Source organism: Homo sapiens, chromosome 13, assembly GCF_000001405.40.
Source record: "Homo sapiens chromosome 13, GRCh38.p14 Primary Assembly".
Classification (NCBI taxonomy): Eukaryota; Metazoa; Chordata; class Mammalia; order Primates; family Hominidae; genus Homo; species Homo sapiens.
In genome coordinates, this window is record NC_000013.11 from 39,050,132 (window position 1) to 39,072,242 (window position 22,111).

At 37.4% G+C, this 22,111-nt stretch overlaps 1 long non-coding RNA gene across 4 annotated transcripts in view; it reads left to right on the forward strand.

Annotated features, from left to right (window-relative positions):
* The first annotated feature begins 2,940 nt into the window (after positions 1 to 2,940).
* LOC105370169 (uncharacterized) overlaps positions 2,941 to 22,111 on the forward strand; it is a 38,623-nt gene continuing 19,452 nt past the window's right edge. For all 4 annotated transcript variants that reach the window (NR_187781.1, NR_187783.1, NR_187782.1 and 1 more), the window contains exon 1: positions 2,941 to 3,197. This is a non-coding gene — a long non-coding RNA (uncharacterized LOC105370169). The remainder of the gene's footprint in view (positions 3,198 to 22,111) is intronic.

Consider the following 22,111-nt stretch of genomic DNA (forward strand, 5'->3'; position numbering starts at 1 on the left):
TTTAAAGAATTTCAGCAATTATGAAATCACAAGTTGATGCTGAAAGAATATCCCACTTTTCACACATATAGCGTGTAAGCTGATGTGCATAAATATGACTAGAAGTTGCTTAGAACATTTAAAGAATGTAGCTTGTTTTGAGGTGGTGGGAGGGTACAACTGACAGTAATAACTAGCTAATTGTCTACATTTCTGCATTAAAAGTGGAACATCTTTATACTTCTACTTTTTAGGTCTATTCTTGGAGTGGGGAGGGGAGAAAGTGTTCTAAATTAGAAAACCAAAGGCTATAGATTTAGCTCTATCTTTCCCTACCTGTACCATCAGATTGGGTCTTTCAAGTGGAATATTTATCGATCAGAGAAAACTTGGATGAAATCTGATGGTGAACAGAGATTTACCACGAATTTTTTTTTTTTTTTTTTTTTTTGAGACAGAGTCTCGCTTGGTCGCCCAGGCTGGAGCGCAGGAGTCTCGCTCGCTCGGTCGACCAGGCTGGAGTGCAGTGGCGCCATCTCGGCTCACTGCAAGCCCCGCCTCCCGGGTTCATGCCATTCTCCTGCCTCAGCCTCCCGAGTAGCTGGGACTACAGGCGCCCGTCACCACACCCGGCTAATTTTTTTTTTTTTGTATTTTTAGCGGAAATGGGGTTTCACCGTGTTAGCCAGGATGGTCTTGATCTCCTGACCTCGTGATACGCCCGCCTCCGCCTCCCAAAGTGCTAGGACTTTGTTCTTAGGTCACTTAACAGATTAAAAGACTGCTTCAAGCAATGTAGTGTAAGGCTACGGCAATAAAGTCCTATTTTGTTTTGCCTTTGCTGTTTTTAAGCACTTTTGCATTTGAAAACAGGACAGATTGGATAGTCAGCATTAAAATGGAAACTCAAATTTTTGCTTTTTAGGCTTACCAAAATAAATGAGAGTTTTTAAAAGTCCTAAATTTATTACTTTAATTTGTTGTATTCTCTGCTATATATTTTCAGCAACAATAAAAAATCAAAATAATCATCTTTATTGATTCAGTAAAAAGTTTTGAGACAACAAACATATAAAAGCACTCAGTCAAGTGTCCTCTGCTCTAATAGTTCCCTACCTGGTTGGGAAAACAAGCTACTTAAACCTTGTCTTTTAGTAGTTTTAGGAGATACCATTTTTGGCACTTGTGTTATGTTACATTCTTGATACACAAGAGGTCAGTAGCGTTCTGCTTATAAGCATTTCTTGAAATCAAACATGGGCTAAACTTCATACTTTGGTTGTTTTTTTTTTTAATTGAAGCTACAGTGTTCACCATACTTTCATTGTTTTTCTTTTTTCTGCCACTTGCTTACATCTTAAGGAAATTGCTTTATGGGTGAAACATTTTCCAAGCATTGTTGGAAATTTTTTACTGGTTAATTGGACTTGTCCACAATTAAAAAAAAAGTTTAAACCTTTTCAGTAATTCAGACTAACAGCCAGAAGTGAATTAACTTATTTTAAATGAAGGTGAAACTATAATCTGAATGTGTGAGTTTAGTACAATAGAGAATGAATTTGTATTAGTGGGGAATCATTCTTTTTTCTCCCTAGTAGTTGTTTTTTGTTGTCGTTGTTGCTGTTGTATAAAAAAAAAAAACAATTTCACCTTGTGGTTGCTACTTTACAAATAAGAAAAATAAGTTTTTTATAAAGACTCTTAGGTCATTTCTTCATCAGCTACTCTGGAATCCATGAGTTTATAAATTAATCCTCTAAACGCTAAATGACATGTAGATGCTCCTTTGGTGTATAAGAATTGAATAGAATTTGAGCAATGAAAAATAACACTACTTAAAACTTATTTTTTCCATTGTAAACAATGAAGTAATATGACTTAATTCTGCTTCTATGTAATTCATAAATAAAAAACTCACTGTAACATTAAAACAAGCATGTCCTACATGAGTTACATTTAAATAAATTAATTTTAATTTAAATTAATTTAATAGATTAATTTGCGTGAGTCACAACAAATTGATATTATAAACTTGCTTCTCAATTTTCAGCCGCTTTATCAAAGGAAGAAAATTTTAGTTGCATGGTGCAGATTCTCAGATTTGTTCCTAGTGAGAATTAGTTACTGTAATATGTGTTAGAAATTTTTTTTTACAATACGACATTTATATACAAATTGTCACAATCACCAGTTAAATGTTTTTATAACATTTTTCTTCACAGTGTGTATAAAGAAGTATTTAAATATTTTGATGCTTCCTGTATTGAACTGAAATACTTATTTTTACTTAACTAAAGGGATGAAGGAACTAACTATATGTACGTTTGTTTTTAATCAACATTAATTGAGGTAAATGTATTCAGTTTTGTGTGGAGCGTATGGGGGTTACGTTTGTGCAGTCTGTGTGCATATGTGTAAATATAAATGTGCATCTAAAGGGCATTATGCCCAACTAGGTCAGAAGAACTGGATCAAGACAGTTGAAACAACATGGCTAAACGTTAAGTCCTCATCGGAGGACACCTGGTTTGGCAACAAATTATTTGAAAAAGTTTTGGAAAGTTTGTTGGCCAAAAATATTACAAGCCTTGTTAAGAAAAATGTTGCAATCTTAGACAACATTGAAGTGTAGATTTAATGGCAGTTTAATCGACAAGATAGTCTATATATCTAGTAAATAGCTCCGTGGTGTTGTTTCCTTTGGCTACTACATTTTAAGGGGGCATCCTATAAACTGTTTAACCCAAAAGCAGTGTGATGGTTAATATTGAGTGTCAGCTTGGTTGGATTGAAGGATGCAAAGTATTGTTCCTGGGTGTGTCTGTGAGAGGGTTGCCGAAGGAGATTAACATTTGAATCAATGGACTGTGAGAGGCAGCCCCACCCTCAATCTGAGTGGGCACCATCTAATCAGCTGCCAGCGTGGCTAGAATAAAAGCAAGCAGAGGAACGTGGAAGGATGAGACTGGCTGAGTCTTCTGGTCTTCATCTTTCTCCCATGCTGGATGCTTCCTGCCCTTGAACATTGGACTGCAAGTTCTTTAGCTTTTGGACGTTTGGACTTACACCAGTGGTTTGCCAGGGGCTCTCAGACCTTCTGCCACAGACTGAAGGCTGCACTTTCAGCTTCCCTACTTTTGAGGTTTTGGAACTCGGACTGGCTTTCTTGCTCCGCAGCTTGCAGGTGGCCTGTTATGGGACTTTACCTTGTGGATCATGTGAGTCAGTACTCCTTAAACTCCCTTTCATATATCCATCTATCCTATTCATCCTGTCTCTGTAGACAACCCTGACTAATACAAGCAGGTAACCAAAATAACAGTGTTTGGAAATAATTCTGAAGTCTCAGAGGGTGATCATGTAGTAGAGTGAATAGAATTCTGCACTTTCCTCCAGAACTAAGACAATGAGTACAAATAATAGAGTGGTCCATTGGATCAGCCCAATAAAAGAACCCTCCTCTAGCAGTGGAATGGGCTGTAGCAGTGGATGTGGTAAAGCTTGGTGTTTCACAGCTTGGAATCCAGAGTTAGGTTGACCTACGTTCTAATCCACGCCCTGCAACTAATTTGTATTGTTTTGAGCTATGCCTCATTTTTTTGCTCATTTGTGAAATGGGAATACTAGTATTTTCCTTATGGAATTATTGTGAATACAAATAAGATCATGCATGTAAAGCATTAAGCCCTGTCTCTGACATGCAATAAGCACTCAACAAACCTTAAGAGATTCACGTGTGGTGTTTCAATCAGACAATGGCAGTCATGCTACCACCTTTGGGCAGGGTTTGGGAGAATGGTGAGACCACATGAACTTCCCTATTATATAATTCTGTGTTTAGTCACAGTATTGAAAATTAAAGGTAAGGCTGTAATATACTAAAGCATCTATCATTTAGAAATGCCATTTTAAAAAACATGGCTATTTTTAGTTGGCATTAATGCTGTTTATCCAACAAGTAATTTATGATCAAGGTAAAGACTCCCACCTTCTGCAATTTATATTCTAGTTGGAGAGACAGAGGAAATTGAGAGGAAAAATGGGATTTTGGTTAACATTTATGGTATACATTAACACTTAGTTGGTTAAGCAAATACCCATTTTCAGTGTTCTTCTGCCTTTCCTTCCACTACTGTAACGACTGGAAGAGCTGGGTGCTCACTTCCTCAGCCTGCTAGCAACTAGAGGTAGCTCTGTGACGTGGCTCTGACCATAATTGGAAGTCTACTGGTAGACTTCTAGAAAAGCATTTGCTTTTTTGATTTTAAAAAATAGCAGCATCACTCCTTTATCCATTTCTTCCCTGCCTTGAACTTGGAAGTGATGCCTGAAGTTGCAGTAGCCGTCTCAGAACCATGAAGCCACAAAGCAGCAATCTTAAGGCAGAAAGATAGGAGCCTGGGTTTTTAGCATGTTAGGGAACCACTACATTGTCCTTGTATTTCCTTTCTCCAGACTTCTTTTTATGGGAGATAATTAAATGTGACTAAAGCCACTGTTAGTTGAATGTTTTCTTGCAGGTGAAAGCATTCCTAAGAAATGTAATACTGAGTTAAACTGCATTAATTTGAGAAAGATGGATATTTTTATTGTTTTAAGATTCTGTATCCAGGAATATGTCATTCCAATGTCTTATGTCCTTTAAGATTTTACAAGTTTTTTTAAAAAAATAGATGCTGTGCCTTTTTCTCGTGACAAATTTAGATTCCTGTATCAAATTTATTCCATGCATTTATTACCGATACTAGAGTAGGATTTTTCCCCATTTCTATTTAGTTATTGGAGGTATAGAGAAAAGGAATCAATTTGTTTTATATATAATATATTAACCTTAATTAATTTAATTTAATAATTTAATGAGTTAATTTAACAATTAACCTTAATTATTTTAATTAGCTATTATGGACATTTGGATTTTGTGGGTGGAGCACTGAAAAAAACTATACATCTTTCAATATTTGTATTGCTTGTTTGATTTTCAAAATTTTATTACATTAGCTACACTATTTAAAACAATGTTGAATGATAGGGGGATATCCTTATCTTATTTCTGATTTTAATGGAAATGTTTGCACTACACCAATTATTAATAATACGATATTTGCTATTAAGTTTTGGTAATTTTCATATTTCAGTTCTTTGTCTCTTAGAGTTTTATTAAGAATACTTAATTTTATTAACTGGCTTTTGACATTGATGTAGACAATATGTTGATGTAATGAATGTTACAGATTATTTTTCTTATGTTATTGGAAAACATTTTAATCATGATGTCTTGCTTGGAACTTCTATTCTTGAAACACAAAGGGCAGTAGAGTTCTATTTATACAATTTACTAATTATGTTTCTTCCATCTCCAAAAGGAAATTGAGTTTCCTTACAATAAAAGAATACATTAAAATAGAAAAAGTAATGTCAAACAAACATTTTATAGAAAGTACATTTATTGGAAACCTGGATTAGTAATAGTTACAGCAATAAAATATTAAGTTAATTTGGAGTTTTCTTGTAGCTGTGGCAAAGAAGGAAATATAAATAATTCTCATTTAATGAAATCTTATCCATTCTTTGGAAAAAACAAGCTCTTGTTTTTTCTTTTCTTTTTTTTTTTGGCTCAACTTGAAAAGTTTCCATAGTCTTCCACAAATTATAGATATCAGAAGAAACTTTGGTTATCAACAATAGCAATAAAAGTGATTTTTAATGGACTATATTATTAAATAGATTAGTGCAATTATGTATCAAAATCATGCCTTTTATTTTACTTGTTTATATATATTTTCAACTTTTAGATTCTGGGGGGCTACATATACAGATTTGTTACAAAGGTATATTGCATGATGCTAATGTTTGGAGTATAATTGAACCTGTCATCCAGGATGTAAGGGTAATACCTAATATGTACTTTTTCAGCCCTCTCCCTCTCCCAACCCCCTCCCTCTTATATTCTTCAGTGTCTGTTGTTCCCATCTTTATGTCTGTGTGTACCCATTGTTTAGCTCCGACTTGTGAGAACATGTGGTATTTGGTTTTCTCTTTCTGTATTCTCTCACTTAGGATACTGGCCTCAAGCTGCATCCATATTGCTGCAAACAGCATGACTTCACTCTTTTTTATGGCTGCATAGTATTCCTTGGTGTATGTGTACCATGTTTTCTTTATCCAGTCCAACATTGAAGGGTATCTAGGTTGATCCCATGTCTTTGCTATTGTGAATAGTGCTGCAGTGAACATGGATGCATGTGCCTTTTTGGTAGAATGATTTATTTTTCTTAGGTTATATACCCAGTAATAGGATTGCTGGGTCAAATGCTAGTTCAGCTCTTAGTTCCATAAGAAGTCTTCCATACAAAAAAAAAAAAAATTAGCTAGGCGTGGTGGTGCATTCCTGTAATCCCAGCTACTTGGGAGGCTGAGGCAGGAGAATCACTTGAACTAGGGAGTCGGAGGTTGCAGTGAGCCAAGACCGCGCCGATGCACTCCAGCCTGGCAACAGAGCGAGACTCTGTCTAAAAAAACAAAACAAAACAAAAAAGAAGTCTTCCAACTGCTCTCCACAGTGGATGAACTAATATATTCCCACCAACAGTGTATTAGTGTTCCCTTTTCTCTGCAACCCCACCAGCATTTGTTATTTTTGACGGTTTAACAAAAGCTATTCTGACGTGTGTGAGATTGATTTGCATTTATCTAATGATTAGTGATGATGAGCATTTTTCCATTTGTTTGTTGGCCACTTGTATGTCTTCTTTTGAGAAGTGTCTGTTCATATCCTTTGCCCACTTTTTAACAGGGCTATTTGTTTTTTGCTTATTGATTTAGTTCCTTATAGATTGTGGACATTAGGCTATTTTCAGGTGCATAGTTTGAGTGTTTTCTCCCATTCTGTAGGTTGTCTGTTTACTCTGTTGATAGTTTCTTTTGCTTTGCAAAAGCTCTTTAGTTTAATTAGGTCCTACTTGTCAATTTTTGTTTTTGTTGCAATTGTTTATGAAGACAACTGTAAATTCTTTGTCAAGGCCAGTATTGAGAAGGGTATTTCCTAGGTTTTCCTCAAGAAATGTTATGGTTTGAGGTCTTATATTTAAGTCCTTAATGCATCTTGAGTTAATTTTTACATATGGTGATAGATAGGGGTCTACTTTCATTCTTCTCTATATGGGTAGCCAGTTATACCAGCATCATTTATTGAGTAGAGAGTCCTTTCTTCATTGCTTATTTTGTTGACTTTGTCAAAGATCATATGGTCACAGGTGTGCAGCTTTATTTCTGGGTTTCCTACTCTGTTCCATTGGTCTATGTGTCTATTTTTATAACAGTACCGTGCTGTTTTGGTTATTGTAGCCTTATAATATTGTTTGAAGTCAGGTAATGTGATGCCCCCCCACTTTGTACTTTTTGCTTAGGATTGTGTTGGCTATTCAGGCTGTTTTTTGGTTCCATATGAATTTTAGAATAGTTTTTTCCAATTCTGTGAAAAATGATCTTGGTGCTCTAATAGGAATGGTGTTGAATCTATACATTGCTTTGGGCAATATGGCCATTTTAATGATGTTGATTCTTCCCATCCTCGAGTATGGAATGTTTTTCCATTTGTTTGTGTCATTACTGATTTATTTCAGTGCACTTGTTGTTCTTCTAGTGGTCTCTCACCTCCTTGGTTAGATGCATTCCTAGGTATTGTATTCTTTTTGAGGCTATTGTAAATAGGATTGTGTTCTTGATTTGGCTCTTAGCTTGAACATTATTGGTGTATAGAAATGCTACTAATTTTTGTACACAGATTTTGTATAATGAAACTTCACTGAAATTGTTTATCAATTCTTAGAGGCTTTGGTGGAGGCTTTGGCATTTTCTCAGTATAGAATCATATCATCAGGGAAGAGAGATAGTTTGGCTTCTTTTATTTCCTATTTCTGTGACTTTTATTTCTTTCTCTTGCCTGATTTCTCTGGCTAGGACTCCCAGTACTGGGTTGAATAGGAGTGGTGAGAGTGGACATTCTTGTCTTATTCCAATTCTTAGGCAAAATGCTTCCAACATTTGCCCATTAAGTATGATGTTGGCCATGAGTTTGTCATAGCTGGCTCTTATTATTTTGAGGTATGTTCTTTCAGTGCCTAGTTTGTTGAAGGCTTTTATTGTGAAGGGATGTTGGATTTTATTGAAGGCTTTTTTTTTTTTTTTTTTTTGGTCTATGGAGATGATCACATAGTTTTTGTTTTTAATCCTGTTTATGTGGTGAATCACATTTATTTACTTGTGTGTGTTGAACTATCCTTGCATCCCATAAATAAAGTCTGGTTGATCATGGTGAATTAACTTTTTGATGTGCTGCTGGATTTGGTTTGTTAGTATTTTGTTGAGGGCTGTTGCATCTGTGTTCATCAGGGATATTGGCCTGCAGTTTTCTTTTTTCATTGTGTCTCTGCCAGATTTTTGGCATCAAGATGATGCTGGTTTTGTAAAATGAATTAGGGAAGAGTCCTTCCTCCTTGATTTTTTTTGGAATAGTTTCAGTAGGATTGATACCAGCTCATCCTTGTACGTCTGATATTATTCAGCTGTGAATCCATCTGGTCCAGGACTTTTTTTGGTTGGTAGGATTTTTATTACTAATTCAATTTTAGCACTCATTATTGGTCTTCTCAGGGTTTCAGTTTATTCGTTCAATCTTGGGAAGTTGTGTGTTTCCAGAAATTTTTCCATTGCTTCCAGATTTTGTTTTCTTTTCCTTTCTTCCTTTCCTTTCTCTATTTCTCTTTCTTTCTCTCTCTCTCTCTCTTTCTCTCTTTCTTTCTCTCTCTCCTTCTTTCCTTCCCTTCCCCCCTACCCTCCTTCCTTTTCCTTCAGTTATTTATTTATTTATTTTGAAACAGAACCTCATTCTGTCACTCAGACTAGAGTGCAGCGGCGCGATCTTGGGTCACCGCAACCTCCGCCTCCTAGGTTCAAGTGATTCTCCTGCCTTGGCCTCCTCAGTAGCTGGGATTATAGGTGCATGCCACCATGCCAGGCTAACTTTTTAATATTTTGTTAAGATGGGTTCTCACTGTGTTGCACAGGCTGTCTTCTAGATTTTCTAGTTTGAGTACATGGAGATGTTTTAGTAGTTAGTCTCTGAGGATCTTTTGTATTTCTGTGGGATCAGTGGTAATGTCATCTTTGTCTTTTCTGATTCTACTTATTTGTATTGTTACTCTTTTTATTAATCTAGACAGCAGTGTATCAATCTTGTTTATCCTTTCAAAAAACTAACTTTTGGTTTCATTGATCTTTTGTGTGTATTTTTGCATCTCAACTTCATTCAGTTCTGCTCTGATTTTAGTTTTCTTCTGCTAGCATTGAGGTTCCTGTTTTTCTAGTTCTTCTGGGGGCAATGTTTGATTATTAATTTGATATCTTTCTAACTTCTTGATATAGGTATTTTGTACTGTAAACTTTTCTCTTATCACTGCTTTCATTGCATCCCAGAGATTTTGGTATGTTGTGTCTCTGTTTTTATTAATTTTTGAGAAATTTTTTATTTCTGCCTTAATTTTATTATTTACCCAAAAGTCATTCAGGAGTAAGTCGTTTAATTTCCATGTATTATGTGGTTTTAAGAGGGCTTCTTGGTATTGATTTATATTTTTATTGCACGGTCATTGGAGAGTATGGTTGGTATGATTTTAATTTTTTAAAAGGTACTGAGACTTGCTTTATAACCAAATATGGTTAATCTTAAGAGTGTGTTTCCTGTGCAGTTGGGAAGAATGTATATTCTGTGGTTGTTGGGTGTAGTATTTTGTACATGTCTATTAGGTACAATTGGTCATGTGTCAGGTTTAAGTCCAGAATGTATTTGTTAGTTTTTTGCCTTGATAGTGTAACACTGTCAGTGGGGTGAGGTCCTCCAATATTGTTATGTGGCTTTTTTTTTTTTTTTTTTTTTTGAGACGGAGTTTCACTCTTGTTGCCCAGGTGTCACCACACCAGGCTAATTTTGTATTTTTAGCAGAGACAGGGTTTCCCCTTGTTGGTCAGGCTGGTCTCGAACTCCCAACCTCAGGTGATGCGCCTGCCTCTGCCTCCCAAAGTGCTGGAATTACAGGCATAAGCCACCACGCCCAGCCCTGAGTCTTTTTGCCATTCTACAAGTGCTTGTTTTATCAATATGACTTCTCCAGTGTTGGATGCATATGTATTTAGGATAGTTATGTTTTGCTGAATTGAACCTTTTATCATTATATAATGCCCTTCTTTGTCCTTTTTGACTATGTTGGTTTAAAGCTTGTTTTGTCTTATGTAATAATAGTTACCCTGCTCTTTTTTGCTTTCTGTTTGCATGATAGATTTTTCTCCATTTCTTTATTTTGAGACTATGGGTGTTTTTACACGTGGGATGGGTCTCTTGAAGATAGACGGTTGGGTCTTGACAGTCTGTGCCGTTTAAGTGGGGCGTTTAGACTATTTATGTTCAAGGTTAATGTTGATATGTAAGGATTTGATCCTGTCATTTTGTTATTAATTGGTTGTTTTGTAGACTCAATTATGTAATTGCTTTGTAGGATCTGTTGTGTATGTACTTAAGTGTGTTTTTGTGGTATCAGATATTGTTCTTTCCTTTCCACATTTAGAACTCTCTCCTTAAGTACCTCTTGTAAGGCAGGTCTGGTGGTAATGAATTCCCTTAGTCTTTACATGTTTGAAAAGGATTTCATTTCTCCTTTGCATGTGAATCATAATTTGGCAGGATATAAAATTCTTGGTTGGAATTTCTTTTCTTTAAGGATGCTAAATATACATCCCCAGTCTCTCCTGGCTTGTAAAGTTTCTGCTGAGAACTCTGCTGTTAGCCTGATGGGGTTCCCTTTGTAAGTGACTTGGCCTTTTTCCCTAGCCACCTTTATGATTTTTTTTTTCCTGTTGACTTTGGAGAATCTGATGACTGTGTGTCTTTGGGATGGTTGTCTTGTATAATATCTTGCAGGTGTTCTCTGGATTTCTGGAATTTGCATGTCTACCTCTCTAGTGAGATTGGGGAAATTTCTGTGGACTATATCCTCAAATATGTTTTCCAAGTTGCTTACTCTCTCTTTTTCTCTCTCAGGAATGCCAATGAGTTGTAGAGAAAGTTTGTTTCTTTCTTTAAAAATTACTATGTCATCTCTCCTGGACCATTTTACTGGCTTCCTTGGATTGAGTTTAAACTTTCTCCTGAATCTCATTGAGCTTTTTTGCCCTTCAGATTCTGAATTCTATGTCTGTCATCTCTCTCAGCCATTTCAGTCTGGTAGGGAACCAGACATTGCTGGGGAGCTAGTGCAATCATTTAGAGGTAAGGAGATGCTCTGACTTTTGAATCATCAGAGTTCTTGGGCTGATTCTTTCTCATATGAGAGGGCTGGTGTTGCCTTATCATTTTGAAATGGCTGTTGTTTGGATGGGGCTATTTGTTTTTATATTCTTTATTTCCCTTGAGGGTTTGACTGGAGTATGCTGCCTATAGTCGATTGACTTCATTCCTGGGTGCTTTCAGAGGGTCAAGGCTCTGTGCGGGATCTTTCTTTGTGGCTAGATTCCTGCATTGGGTTTCACTGGTGATGTATGGTGAAAGAATTTATGTTTGGTGGTTTAATTAAGGCTGTGATCTAGTACGTGGCACTTAAGAGTAAGGGCAAATAAAAAACATTTTTAATTAAAAAAATTTGTTAAAAAAGAAAAAGCATGATGTAAGCTGATAAAAAAGACTATTTTTTGAAAAGAGTAAGGGCTGGTAGATAGGCTCTTAGTCACACGCCTCTTATATTTTGGTGCATTCGCAGCAGTACTCTGGGGTGAGTTAGACGGGGGTTGGCAAGAGATAACCTCACCAAATCCATTCCTGGGTCTTGGAGAGCCCCCTCCAGTCACTGGTGCCATGCTTACATTTTCTTAGTCCCAAAGTGGGGTGCTGGTAGGCTGTGTTCTCCCTTCCCTTAGTGTCACCCAAGCCAAAGTTTAGGTCACCAGGAGACCCGCAGGTCCTTGGGGACCCACTGGTCCTCTGTGCTTGGCAGAGTCAGAGCAGGTTGTGGGATATGTCAACAGGTGCCCCCTTGATGCAGTAGGTCAAGGGTGAGGATCCCTGGGCAGGGCAGTGTTGCTGTGGGTATGCAGCTGGTGTGGTGACTGCAGCTTGGGTTTTTTTTCCTAGCAGATGGCTGTGGGGACCATTCCACTCGTGCTCCCACAACGGGATCTCCTTACGGTGTCTATCCTAGTAGCTGGCATGACCAGCTAGTTTTGTCTCACTCCACCTGCACACAGATTGCTGGGCTGTTGGTTGTTCTGGGCCATGGGGCTCCTTCTGGCAGAGGCTTTGGCTGACAAACAGGCTACACCTTTCCCTGGCTGGTCTTGCAGAGGGAAGCACGTTCTGCTCCTGCTCCAGCCCACAAACCCACACCTTATACTTCTCAGTGTTTGGAGAGTAGGGGCTCTTACCCCAATCTAGCTCTGGCCATAGATCTCAGTTGGATATTCCTCAGCTGTGTGTCCGAACTCTGGGGGATTGGGACTGGACCTGTGGCTTTGTCCTCTGACCTCTTAGGGTTGAGCACAGGCTATGCAGGGGGGCCGAAGTGCTCCCAGGCCACCAGCAAAGCACTCAGGAGGGGCAGTGGAAGCTGTGCTATGTGTATGCTTTTGTGGGAGCAGCCAGCCGGAAGACTTGGGAGGGGCTGGCAGAGAAGGGGGCGTGGCAGATTAGAGTCACCCTGGTCCCATGGGAAAGATAGCCCTGCTCTCTCCTGGCCTTGGCAGTCAGCAGAGGTTAGAGCCACAGGGAGATGGTTGTTGATGGTCGTGTTTTGCTGTAGCTGCCCCCCGCAAAACCTTCTGGGCTCCGTGCAGGCTCAAACTCTGCCTCTGTCTACTCTCTGGGCAGCTCCCCTTGCCAATCCAAATATCTGTAAGGGTGGTGGGAGCTCTTGCAGCTAGGATCTTGGAGGTCCACAGCAGGAGAGTGTTGCCTTGCAGTTCTTTCACTCACCCCTTCCTCAAGACCTGTTTAAGGTCTGGAGCTGGTCCCAGTGCTTGGCAACTCCATGTAGGGTTCCCAACTTCCTCCCTCTTCCACCTCAATGTCTGTATCACCCTTCTGTCAGCACTCAGTTTTTCCACTCAAGAGATCTGTTTGAAACGTGATGGTTTACCTGATATTTTGGTTTCTCTTGGTGGGAGAGGCACTTCCTAGTTGCATCAAGTCAGACATCTTGTCCCCCTCCCTCCACAAAATATTTTCTATTTTCATTCCATGGATCCTTGTCAGTGAAACAAAACAACATATCTTAAACAAAAATGTAATATAACAGAAAGAAATGTTCACTTTTTTATGTGATGAAAAGTCAAGAATGACGTAAAAAGGTGATGAGGTATTTAAATCAGTAACTCAGTAAGCATTCATATTTGGCACGCACACCACGGACTGGATGCCTAGTTTTCAGCTCTCCAATAGAAGTGATGGTGATAATATATCATATATTTCATATCTTATACATATATGTCATATGCTGTATCTCTGCTGTTCAATAGGGTAGCCTCTAGCTCATATGGTTTTAGACACTTGAAATGTAGCTTGTGTGTCTGAGGAACTGAATTTTCTACCATATTTCTAATTAATTTAAATTGTCTCATGTGGCTATTGGCTACTATATTGGATAGCTTAGTAGGTGACTAGATTTTCATAATGATGATAAATCATTTGTTTTCACTGAATTCCCCTGTTCATTTGTGTAATTTGCCTTCTGCCAACCCTTTAATGTAATGTATTATCCAATGTGACCTTCATGCTTAGAAATTTGGAGTTCTGGGTGTTTGGATTTTACATTTTTTTGTGTGTGTGGATGTGAGCCCAAGGGGATGGCAGCAGATGGGGAAGATCAGGAATTTCTAAAAAGTCATTTTGGATCCAAACCAAACTGAGTTTCTGAACTACCATGCCAGACTATAAACAACACACATCTTTACCTACTCAGTCCCTATTGAGGTAATTTTAACCAAGAAAAAATTAAGAGAAGGTGGTGTCTTCTACACACTTTGCTTTTACAAGGTGACCTAATTTTGAGTAACACCCAGACTGAGTTAGCTACAAAAATGTAGGTAACTGAACAAATCACCCTACGAATGAGTTATTCAGTATTTTTTTTTTCATTTGAACTTTAGAAAAAAATCTCCTCCCTCTTTTTCAGTAGGTTTTGTTTTGGCATGATTAATATTGGACTCCTTATTCTTGAGTAATTATAAAACATTTAGTTGTTTCTGTAGTCGCTTCTTATATCTGATTGTAAAGCCACGTTATCAGGCTTGAGGAGGAGAAAGTTTATTCCTTTTATTTTTTTTTAACAGATGCCCCATGCCAGGCAGTGAGGTTTTTTGGCTTTATTTTTTAATTTTGGTAAAAACCAAATAATATATAATTTACCATCTTAACCATTTTTAAGTATACAGGTCAGTAGTGTTAACAGTATTCACATTGTTGAATAGCAGATAGCTAGAACTCTTTCATCTTTACAAACTGAAACTCTATATTCATAGAACAACTCCCTATTCCCCCTCCCTGCATTCCCTGTCAGCCACAATTCTACTATTTCCATGATTTTGACTACTCTAGATATTACATATAAGTGTAATCATACAGTATTTGTCCTTTTGTGACTGGCTTATTTCACTTAGCATATAAGGTTCATCCATGTTGTAGAATATAACAGGATTTTCTTATTTTAAAAAGATGAATAATATTCTACTGTATATATATGCCAATTATTTTTTATCCATTCATCTGTCGACGGACATTTGGGCTGCTTTTGCCTCTTGGCTATTGTGAATAATGCTACAGTGAACATGGGTGTGCAAACATTTCTTCAAGATTCTGCCTTCACTTCTTTTGGATTTATACCCCAGAAGTGGGATTGCTGGATCACATGGTGATTCTATGTTTAAGTTTCTGAAGAACCACCATCCTGTTTTCCACAGCAGCTGCTCCATTATTTTATAATCTCACCAGTAGTGCACAAGGGTCCTCTGCATTCTCATCAACATTTATTATTTTCTGGGTTTTGACAGTGGCCATCCTAATGGGTATGTCCTGATATCTCACTGTGGTTTTGCTTCACATTTTTCTAATAATTTGTAATGTTGAGTATTTTACATGTGCTTGTTGGCCATTCGTATGTCTTCTTGGGAGAAATATCTATTCAGGTCCTTTGTCTACTTTGTAATCACGTTACTTGTTTTTTTGTTATTCAGTTGTGAAAGTTCTTTATATATTCTAGATATTCACCGCTTATCAGATATATGATTTGCCATTAGTTTCTTTAATTCCATAGGTTGCCTATTTTTATTCTGTTAATTGTTTCCTTTGATGTGCACAAGTTTTAAAGTTTGATGCCATACCATCTGTCTACTTTTGCTTTCATTGCCTGTGCTTTTGGTGTCATATCCAGAAAATCATTGTCAAACCAATGTCATAAAGCTTTTCTCCTATGTTTTCTTCTGGAGTTTTATGGTTTTAGGCCTTTTTTTGTTTTTTTTTTTGTTTTGTTTTGTTTTGTTTTGAGACAGGGTCTGGCTCTGTTGCTGAGGCTGGAGTATAGTAATATGATCCAGGCTCACTACAACCTCTGCCTCCCAGACATAGGTGATCCTCCCACCTCAGCACCCCTAATCAGTAGCTGGGACTACAGGCACATGCGACCATGCCTGGCTAATTTTTTTTTTCTTTTGTATTTTTTTTGTAGAGACCAGGTTTTGCCATGTTGCCCAGGCTAGTCTCAAACTCCTGAGCTCAAGTGATCCGCCCGCCTTGGCCTCCCAAAGTGTTGGGATTACAGGTGTGAGCCACTGTGCCTGGCCTGGTTTTAGGTCTTAATGTTTATATCTTTAATCTACTTTGAGTTAATTTTTGTATATGGTGTAAGGCAAAGGTGCAGTTTTATTTTTTTGCATGTGGAGATACAGTTTCTCAGCACCATTTGTCAGTGAAGCTATCCTTTTCCCCACTGTGTATTCATGGCACCCTTGTTGAAGATCATTTGGCTATATACGTGAAGGTTTATTTCTGTACTCAGTGTTCTTTTCTATTGGTCTATTTGTATGTCTTTATGCTAGTACCACATTGTTTTGTTTTGTTGACTTTTTTATGTTTTTTGAGATGGGAGTCTCGCTGTATCACCCAGGCTGGAGTGCAGCGGTGCGATCTCAGCTCACTGTAATCTCTGTCTCCCGGGTTCAAACAGTTCTCCTGCCTCAGTCCCCTGAGTAGCTGGGACTACAGGTGAGCACCACCACACCTGGCTAATTTTTGTATTTTAGTAGAAATGGAGTTTCACTGTGTTGGCCAGGCTGGTCTGAAACTCCTGACCTCAAGTGATCCACCCACCTTGGCCTCCCAAAGTGTTGGGATTACAGGTGTGAGCCACTGCACCTGGCCGTACCACATTGTTTTGATTGCTGTAGCTTAGTAATGTTTTGAAATTCAGAAGTATAAAATCTTCAACTTGTTTTAAGTTTGTATAAGCAACACAGGGTTTCTTGAGAGTCCATAAGAATGTTAAAATATTTTGTTTCTATTTCTGCAAAAATAAAAAATAAAAAAAAGTGCCATTGGGCTTTTGATAGGAATTGCATTGAATCTATAGATTGCTTTGGGTAGTACACACATTTTAACAGTATTAAGTCTTCCAATCAATGAACATGGAATGTATTTCCATGTAGCAATGTTTTGTAGTTTGTGTAAGCTTTTGCCTTCTTTATTGAGTTTATTCCTAAGTATTTTATTCTTTTTGATGCTATTATGAATGAGATTGTTTTCTTAATTTCCATCTCAGATTGTTTGTTGTTAGTGTATAGAAGCACAACTGAATTTTTTGTGTTGATTTTGTGTCCTGCAACTTTGCTGAATTTGTTTATTCTGTGTGTGTGTGTGTGTGTGTGTGTGTGTGTGTGTCTGTGTGTGTAATCTTTAGGGTTTTCTACAGGTAAGATTATGTCATCTGTGAACAGAGATAATTTTACTTCTTTTAACATGGATGCCTTTTTTTTTTCTTGCCTAATTGCTCTGGCTAGGACTTCCAGTACCATATTTAATAGCAGGCACTAATATGGTACCTTCCCTCAGGACCTTTGGTGATTTAAGGGAGGACACATATTTCTGTTTCAGTGTCGAGCAGTGCTTGGGTAGGGGTATGGGCTGAGAATATTAGAACAAAGAAAAGGAAATATGAGAATGTGGAGAAAAATGGAAGACTTCACACATAAGGAGACATCTGAGTTCAATATGGAACGATAAGTGGAATTTGGACTTTTGAAGAAGAGCAGGAAGCCAAGCAGAAGTCTTTAAGATACCTCTTATTTTATCTAACCCCCTATATTTTTCAGACAAGCAATGTGAGAGGCAAGAGTTAATGAATAAGCTGAGGGTGGATCCCAGATCTATCCCTTCAGCAGTGTTCTGTCAGCTCAGGTGGTCTATCATCCCTACTACCTTGTTGAGTGATACTTTTCCTGATTAAAAGATTATGTGGGCCAGGCATAGTGGTTCACACCTATAATCTCAGCACTTTGGGAAGCCAAGGCAGGCAGATCACCTGAGGTCAGCCTGGTCAACATGATGAAACCCCTTTTCTACTAAAAATACAAAAAATTAGCCGGGTGGGTGGTGCATGCCGATAAACCTGGCTACTTGGTAGTCTGAGGTAGGAGAATCATTTGAACCTGGGAGGCAGAGGTCGCAGTGAGCTGAGATCACACCACTGCACTCCAGCCTGGGCTATAGACTGAGACTGTCTCAAAAAAAAAAAAAAAAAAAAAAAACAATTGTACTGATTGCGATCCATGAATGATTAATCATATGTATCACATTTCTTCCTGTCCTAGGCAGTCCTTTTTTACACAGAGTAGATCTAGAACTTAAGTAGATGTTCATTATCTTTTAGAGAGTTGCACTGTACCCAAGCACTTTGTATATTTTGAAACATACCTAAATCTGAATAAAATTATCATATATGTGTATGAAAGAAGGCTACCTCAAGATGTAGAAAAATGAAAGTTCAGTAAAATGGGTCTTGAATTAAGACAAGCAAACGATGAAATGACATACTAGCATCAAGTAACTATTTTGGAAGTTCAAATAAAAGGATTAGAAAAATAAGGCACTGGCAGTTAAATGCAATTAAATTCTTTGCATAATAAAGTGCATGCAAAAAAACCCACAAGGAATTATTGTCAAATTATTATTTTTAATGTAATTTTGGTAGTGAATGCTGATTAAGATGTATTGAAATGGTACTCTTACATAATATTGTTAGTATAAATTAATACAATCTTTTAATTATTTAGTTTAGTAATGTATTAAAAGCTATAAACATTTAATAACTTCTGAGCTAATAATTGTACTTCAACAAAGTGATCTGCTTTGAGAAATATTTCAAATAAAATAATAGTTGGCATTTATTGAATAGGTACTTTCTACTTGGCAGGCACTGCTGTAAGCATTTAACATTTATTAGCTAAATCCTCACCATGGCCTCGAGGTAAGTAAGCATTATTAGATGAAGAAACTGCATCACAGCAAGGAAAACAACTTGCCCCAGCTGGTAAACAGGGGAGTTGGGATTCATACCACCTGCAGTATGTTTGTAAAGCCTGTGCTTCAACCATTAGGCTAGTCTGCTCTCAGAGGGATATGCACACATATGTGCACAAATATGTGACTATATTAAGGAATATCTCAAACTGTGATATTTGTTAATTAAGTAGCAAAAATTTAGAAGTTACGGTGTTACAAGACAGCAATGAATAAAGTATGGTCTGTTTATTCTACATTGACCCTTATGTGTGTGGGCCTTAAAAATGATTATGAAGAGTATTAAACCACTTGGAAAATGATTATGACAACATGAAATGAGAAAGACTTGCATTAATCAATGTAAGACTATAAGATATCCATTATGTTTATATGGTTATAACTAAATAACAATGTACATAGGACTTCCTCTGAACTAGACGCTGTTCTAAGCATTGTGTATTATTTAATTCTTATAGAGAAATTCTCCTGTGAGTAGTTGTCATCATTATTCTCATTTTACACATGAAGGAGTTGGGCTACAGAGAGACTAAGGTCAAGGTCTAGCAACAGCAAATGAAGAGCAAGGATTTGAAATCAGGCAATCTAGCTTCAGAGTGTACCTGTGGAACTAAAGTTCTATTCATTGCACCAACACATTCCAGAAGAGATCAAAATGTTAATAATGGTACTGTTTGTGTGCAGAATCACAGGAGAGAGGTATCATCCTATGTACCCCAAAAGGATTTTGACCTCATTTGCAATCACACTCAATAAAGCAAAAGGGGGAAATTACCCTTCTAGAATGGAACCCTTCCAGGCACATTTGTTTGGGTTATGATATGGTTTGTGTGTCCCCATCCAAATCTCATCTCCAATTTTAATCCCCATGTGTCAAGAGAGAGACATGGTGGGAGTGATTGGATCTTAGGGGTGGTTTTTCCCATGCTGTTCTTGTGATTGTGAGTGAGTTCTCATGAGACCTGATGGTTTTATAAGGGGCTCTTCCCCCTTCACTCGCTCACTCGCTCACTGTCTCTCACCTGCCACCATGTAAGATGTTTCTTTGCTTCTCTCTCACCTTATGCCATGATATTAAGGTTCCTGAGGCCTCCCCAGCCTTGTGGAACTGTGAGTCAATTAAACCTCTTTCCTTTATAGATTGCCCAGTCTTGCATATGTCTTTATAACAGTGTAAGAATGGACTAATACTGGCTACTTCCCTCAACCTCTCCTTTTTCCTTTCCCATGCCTTTCTGAAAGCCTCTACATCCTAGCACTCCATTATTTTGAATATAATTATTCAAAATAGAATATAATTATTTTGAATATAATTATTCAAAATAGAATATAATTATTTTGAATATAAGAGAGTTTCGCTGGTAAAAATTACAAAGTTGACTATAAAGTTAGGACACTGGTTTTCCAAATTACATGTCCCTGAAATACATTTTTCACATGGCTTCCAGGGTTTCACATTCTTTGGACTTCTTACCTCACGGAATCTTTCCCAGTGTCTTTGTTTTTGGTTGCTTCTTTCATCCTGACTTTTAAATAGTGGAGTGCCTCAGGACTCAGTGCTTGTTCCTGCCCTCTATCTGTACTCATCCCACCACATCAGTCTGATGAAATAGATTACCATCCAAATGTAAATGACTCCCAAACTAACACTTGTGGTTCAAAGTGCTCTTCAGGGTTATGGACTTGGATAGACAATTACCTCCTTGACATTTCCACTTGCACATGTAATCATTATTTCAAACATAACATGTGCAAAATAGATATTTGGTCTCTTTTCCTCATCTCAAAATAGTACCACCATTTATTTACCTAGCTGCTCTTCTATCTTCCTGGAACACCTTTGCTCCAAATCTTTGTGACTCAGTCCACATACAGGTGGCCCTCCAAATTCATGGGTTCTGTATCTGCAAATTGAAAATATTTGGGGGAAAAATAATACAATAAAAATGGATACAAATAAAAAAATACAATAAAGCAACTATTTACATAGCATTTGCATTGTATTAGGTATAAGTAATCTAGATAAGATTTAAAGTATACAGGAGGATCTGCATAGGTTATATGCAAATACTATGCCATTTTATGTCAGAGACTTGAGCATCAGAGATGTGCATAGGTTACATGCAAATACTATGCCGTTTTATATCAGAGACTTGACATGGATTTTGGTGCCTAAGGGAGTTCCTAAAACCAGTCCCCTGCAGATACTGAGGACGGCTGTATTCTTTCAGGTTCTGCTCAAATACAACCTCTTCAAAGAGGTGCACCTTGAACATTTGCTCTATTGATAAATAAATTTTGACTCCTGTCATTCTCTCTTCTCTTATTCTGCCTTATTTTTGTTATATCTCATAATTTTCTAACACTGCTCATTTATTTTTTTATTTGTGTATCACCCATTTCCCTCAATGGAGTATAAACTTTATGAGGGGAAGATGAGTTTGCTTTGGTACTGCAGTGCCTGGCACATAGTAGGTGGTCAGTAAATACTTGTCAAGTGTGACTAAGTGAATGAATCTCATTACCTTGTATCATAACTTAACTTAGTTTCTTTGTTGAGTTTCATGTCTTTTAATAGTTCATTATATCATTTAATCAATTCAATTTAAACTTCTCAGGTCAAATGATCTCTAGTAATTTATCAACTTAGATTCTATTTCAGACTTGTATGTAGGATCCACCCACCAGCCTGCACTAGTCCTAGCCTGCTTTCTTGAGACCTAGTTCCTTTCTTCCTTTTTCCTTTCTTATTGACTTTCTTCATCATCACTATTTTACTGTCTTCTTTCCCGTTTCTAGATTTGTTTCTTTTTGCAGTATCCTAGGCTTCACTGTGATATCCAGATGCTCATGGCGACGTTCAGCATTGCCTTCTTTTTTTGTGTGTTGCGTTTTTCTTTGTGAATGTATGATTTTCATGCTAGCTCTCACTTTCTCCTCATCTAAATGTATTCAAGAATCCTTTCTCATATTGAAACACTGAATTTTCAAAGCAACTTCAAATATATTCTGTATCCTACATTACATTTTACACAGCTGTCTCCAACTTTCTTTCCTACTGTTTGTCCTCATAAATCACCTCAGGGATGAAGCTGTTTTCTAACTTCTGAGTTTTGTGTGTTCAACTGACATTCTGTGAAGCTGAAAGGACAGGAAATATTTTACTTGAAGAAAAGAAATAGGTTGTGGTAATCTAAATAATAGCTTTACAAGATATTCGCTTCCTAAACCAGGACAGCAGGGAAGTCATCTTGACCATACCATGAAAAGCTATGGAATGCCAGCAGCCACCAATAGCTGGAAGAGGCAAGGAATGGAATCTTCCCTGCAAATCATAAGACAGTATAATAGTGTCTGAAATTTGCTGAAAGAAAAATAAATTGGCCAACCTAGAAATTTATATCCAGCAAACATTTTTTAAGTGAAGGAAAATAAAGACATTTCAAACAAACAAAAGCTGAGAATATTCATTCCTACCAAACCTATACTATAAGCAATATTAAAGAAAGATCTTTAGGCTGAAAG